The sequence below is a fragment of the Homo sapiens genome, chromosome 2, assembly GCF_000001405.40.
Source record: "Homo sapiens chromosome 2, GRCh38.p14 Primary Assembly".
In the NCBI taxonomy this organism is placed as follows: domain Eukaryota; kingdom Metazoa; phylum Chordata; class Mammalia; order Primates; family Hominidae; genus Homo; species Homo sapiens.
This window is the reverse complement of record NC_000002.12, coordinates 129,585,944-129,591,159: the sequence shown is the minus strand read 5'-3', so window position 1 is coordinate 129,591,159 and position 5,216 is coordinate 129,585,944. Positions and strand designations below refer to the sequence as shown.

Here is a 5,216-nt window from a genome sequence, read left to right as displayed (position 1 = left end):
TTCTAAATTGATGAGTGATATAAATCATTGTATTGTCTTTTGTAGGCTTGTTATAAGGGTAATACTGACCTCATAAAATTAGTAGGGAAGTGTTTTGCTTCTTCTATTTCTGTAGGAGAATGTGTAAAATTGGTGTTAATTCTTCTTTAAATTTATGGTAGAAATCTTCAATACAACTATCCAGACTTGGAGATCTCTTTTTGTGGAAACTTTTATTTACAAATTCAATTTCTTTGAAGATTACAGAACTGCCCAGATTGTCTGTTTTATCTTGATTGAGGTTTGGTAGTTTTAGGTTTTCAAGGACTTTTTTCTTTTCTTTTCAGTTGTTGACTGTGTGAGTTTAAAGTTATACATCATATCCTTTATTTTTCTTCTAATGGCCAAAGGATTCATAGTGATTTCCTTTTTTTCATTTCTAATTTTTATGTGTCTTTTTTTTTGGCCAGTGTTACTAGAGGTTTATGCATTTTACTGATTTTCTTTCAAACAGACAGTGTTTTGCCTCATTCATTTTTTTCTATTTTTGTAAATGAATGCAGGTCCAGCTGTTTGCTGCTTGCGAAGTCTTAAGAATGAGTGAGGTCTGGTAAAAGGAAAGTGACTTCATTAACAAAAACTAGCAGTAGGGAAGTGGCTGGATTCATATCCAAAGGAATCACATTGAACTTGTAGGGAGAAGGCTAGGGTTTATAAAGAGAAACTTCGTATGGGACACATGCAGTTGTGTTGAGTGCAAGGTGTGTGTGTCCTTTTTCACTGGCTATCTTGGATCTCTGTCTACCTGGAGTGTGGGCTGACATCATCTGAACAATGGCTGGGTTGGTGACTAGCTGCCTTGAGGTAATCTCTGGAATTCTGCTCGGTCTCTAGGCTCGGTCTATCTGTCTCAAGGTTAGCCCTTGAACTCCTAAGTAAGCACATACTTAGATACTGGCATAATTAGATGAATGTGAAGGGAGTACACAGTGGGAAAGGAAGGAACATGCAGTCTATTTTAAGGTTAAGGGAAAAGGCTGTTGCAGTTTGCTTCAAGATTACATCTTGAGACTAAAATGGAAAAAAAGTTTTAAAATGCATTATGGAGTTAAGCTGCTGGTTACCTTTTCATTTTTTTTAAAAAATCATTAATTTCTGCTTTTATCTTTATGATTTCCTTCCTTTGCTCTTTTTTCTTCTAGTTACTTGAATTACTTAGGTTATTGATTTGAGACATTTTCTGTTTTTAGTGCTAAAAATTTCCTCACAGCTCTAGTTTTTTCCCCCTACATATTTTGAGATATTTTCATTTTCTTCCCATTCTATGTATTTTTAAAATTTCCTTTGAGACTTCCTCTTTGATATATGAAATATTTAGAAGTCTTTTAATTTTCAAGTATTTGGATATTTTCTGTTGTTTTTATTTTATTGATTTCTAATTTGATTTCATTACGGTTAAAGAGCTCACTCTGTATGGTTTCAATTATTTTAAACTGCTTGAGGCTCGCTTAATCACCCAGAATATGGGTTGGTGAATGTTCCACGGCCCTTGGAAAATGTGTACTCTGCTGCTGTTGGTGGGAGTGTTCTCTATATGTCAGTTACATCCTGTGGGTTGATGGCCTTGCTCAGTCTTCTGTATTCTTGCTGATTGTCTAGTAGCTCTATTAGCTGCTGAGAGTCAGATGTTAAACTTCCCACCTATAATTGTGGAATTGTTTCTCTCTCCTATCAACTCTGTTTTTGCTTCATATATTTTAAGGCTCTGTTGTCTGCAGCATACACATTTAGGATCACAACATCTTCCTCATGGATTGATCCTTTTACATTATTTAATGTTGCTCTTTGACTTGCAATTTTCTTTCATCTGAAGTCTACTTTATATTAATATAGCCACTCCTACTTTAATTAATGTCTGCATTAATACATCTTTTTCCTTCCTTCTACTTTCATCTTACCTGTGGTGTTGAATTCAAAGAGAGTTTCTTATAGATAACATATTGTTGGATTCTGTGTTTTTATCTACTCTGCCAGTCTCTACCTTTTGTCATATTTAGACTATTCACATTTAAGTAATATGTTAGGACATACATCTGACATTGTTTGCTTTCTTTTTGTTTTCTCTGTTTGTTATTCTTCTGTTCCCTTTCCTTACCTAATTGTGGGTAACTCACATTTTTAGGATTCCATCTTATTTGTAGTATTTATTGTATAGTTTTCTTAGTTATTGCTTTAGGTTTTACAATACATGTATGTAACCTTCCATGGTCTATTGGTATCAATGTTTGCCAGTTTGAGTGAAGTTTAGATACCTTACTGTCATTCAGGTCTTTTTATTCTTCCCACTTTTTATGTATAGTGAGCTTAAGTGTTTTCACTACATAAAAAGAGAACTGTATCAGATGGTCATATAACTTTTGCTTTAACCATCAAATATGAATTTGGCAACTCATGAATTGAAGGATATTTATTATATCTTTCCTAATTTCTAAAATCTACTTTAATGTTTTCCTTTTCTTTCTAAAGTTCCAAGTCCTTTTGTTGTTGTTGATTTCCTTTCCTTTTAGCGAATTTCTTTTAGGTACTCTTTAAAGATACAACAAATTTTCTTAGTTTTCCTTTGTTTGCTAAGTACTTATTCCTTTCACTCCTTGGAGGAATTTTGCCACATATTGAATCTACAGTTGACAGTTCTTTTCCCTCAGTACTTTAAAAACCAGTCACTCCCTTCTGCGTCCTATGGTTTCAGGTGAAAGCTCAGCTGACTTGAATTGGTGTTGCCTCATGAACAACATTTGATTTCTCTCCAGCTGCTTTCAAAATTTATTCTGCCTTTTTTTTTTTTGATGTTTAATTATGATGTGATTGGCATGAACTTCTTTGGGTTTACGATTCTTGAGGTTTGCTTAACTTTTTAAATCTGCAGCTGTATGTCTTTTGCCACATCTGGAAAATTTTCGCTATGATTTCTCTAAATGCTTTTCCAATGGCTCTTGTGCCCTGTGATGTAAGTGGAGGACTGGGAAAGGGAAGTCCCTCCCAGCCACACCATCTCTGCATTGAGGCGCGCTCCAGCTCCTGTGAAAGGGGCACCTGCAGCAGCCCGGGCAGTGCTCTCCAGTCAAGCGGGGCGTTTCCAGCCGGCTCTGTCCTGGGACACAGCCCGGTCAGGAGAGGGGAGCCACACCACTTATTTTACCGAGAAAACGTCATGAGAAGAAGGTAGCTGAGAGGTTAAAGAGAGGACTCTGAGTCGCCATGAGGTATCCACTGTCGGCTGTGGCCACGCGTCTAGTGCAGAGGGCACGAAGGGCAGGGCTTGGAGCTCTTAGGCCTCAAAAGGCCGCCGGGAGGCCAGTGCACCTCCTGCCTGGGCTGGGAGCTGCTGGCTGCTGTGCGGGGCACCGGCAAGGGCCGACGTCACAAAGAGGTCGCAGACGTCACAAAGAGGTCGCTTCCTTCACACCGACTTCACGGAGAGGTCGCTTCCTTCACACCGACTTCACAAAGAGTTCGCTTCCGCACGTGCAGGACTCAGCAGCAAGGGCGTGGGACGCGCAGGCGCCGGGAGCCCACAGGGTGGAGACCGGAGCGAGCCCGCCCTTCTCCAGCCGCGCGGCCTTTCATTCGCGCCCCCTATCGGCAGGGCCAGCGGGGCCGCAGAAGCGTGGCTCGCAGGGCCCAGCCGCATGCACCGAGCTGAGCGCGCGCTGGCCTGTGTGGAGCCCAGGCAAGAACGGAGTAATTGATACAGAAGAGGCTTTGCGTTTTCAGGAATGCACTGTCCCCTTTCCAGGAGCTCTGCAAGGGAGCAGGAATGCCAGAAAGTAGCCTGTGCAGAGGCAGGAGAATGGGAGTCCGCCACAGACTGTCTCTTTCCCCCCCCGGCCAGAGTCTCATCCAGCCCTGGGGAAGGAAGACACCTGGTGGCAATCATGCACCCCACCACCTGTCCAGATCTTAGCTCGTGGCGTCACCCCTGAGGCTGGAACAGTCTCTGAAGAGGGACTGCACAGTTCCACGGGGAACTGTGGAGGAAAACACAGGCCTGGCCTGCCAGCAAGGGAGCAAAGGGGCAGGGGAGTCCCAGAAAACGCTCTGGTCAGTAGACGCTTGAAGATAAAACTCCGCCATAGAAGGGTAAGCTTTCATAAAGTGAAAAGAAACATCTGTCGCCAGAGATGGATATAAGAATAGCATAGACAGCCCGGGGAACAAAGTGAGACCCCATCTCTACAAAAAATACAAAAATTAGTCGGATGCTGTGGTACACGCCTGTGTTCCCAGCTGCTTGGAAGGCTGAAGTGGGAGGATCCCTTGAGCCCGGGAGGTTGAGGCTGCAGTGAGCTATGGTCAGGCTACTGCACTCCAGCTTCGGTGACAGTGCAAGACCGTGTCATTAAAATGACTTGAGGAGGAGCAAAGGATCTATTCAGGGCCAGCAATGTCTACTTTAAAAAATTATTGTGAGGACGGGGTCTGAAATTTTAAATTAAAAATGAGCACAGACGTGGAAAAGCACTCAATAAACAGAACCTTTACATATGTAGTGTAGGAGGGGGTGAGGGGAGTCCATTTACTGTGGCATTAGCCTGAGGTTGAAAAGTGGGCTCAAATATTTTAATATTCTAGAATGTTTGGTTGCTTGAGGAAAAATCAGAAGGGGTAATGATGGGATGACGGTGATAGTCTAAGTGTAATTTTTTGATCTCTTCAGGTCCTCCATACAAACAGGTAGAGCAAAATGGACCACATCTGCAATAAAACTAGGTAGCAAGTTTTATCCACAAGCCTCAAGATGAAAGCTATTGGGGACAAATTCCCTATAGCTAAGTCCATGTGGCACCAGCATCTGGAAGGAGTAAGCCGAGGGAAGCAACACAATATCTTATAGATCTGAGAGCAGAAGACTCAAAGCACTCCTGGATAATTACTGGACAGTAGTGGGCTTATTTGTAAACAGCAGATGAAATAGGGAAAACATTTTTCATTTCCGTTCACATGTGAATGCAAAGAGTTTAAAGAAGTGTTCACTCTTGGTGTGATATATTCCATGGGTTTTGACAAAGGTATAATGACATCTATCCACCATTATAATATTGTACACAATAGTTTCATTGCCTTAAAGTTCCTCTGTGCTCTGCTTGTTTATACCTCTCTTCCAGCTGCCTCTGCAACCACTAATCTTTCTACTATCTCTGTGGTTTTGCTTTTCCCAATATGTCTTATAGTTGGAG

At 41.6% G+C, this 5,216-nt stretch overlaps 1 long non-coding RNA gene across 1 annotated transcript; it reads left to right on the top strand.

The window, feature by feature from the left end:
* The first annotated feature begins 3,461 nt into the window (after positions 1-3,461).
* Positions 3,462-5,012, top strand: LOC105373614 (uncharacterized). Its single transcript, XR_923323.3, has 2 exons — positions 3,462-4,119; positions 4,697-5,012. It is a non-coding gene; the product is annotated as an uncharacterized LOC105373614 (long non-coding RNA).
* Positions 5,013-5,216: the final 204 nt, after the last annotated feature.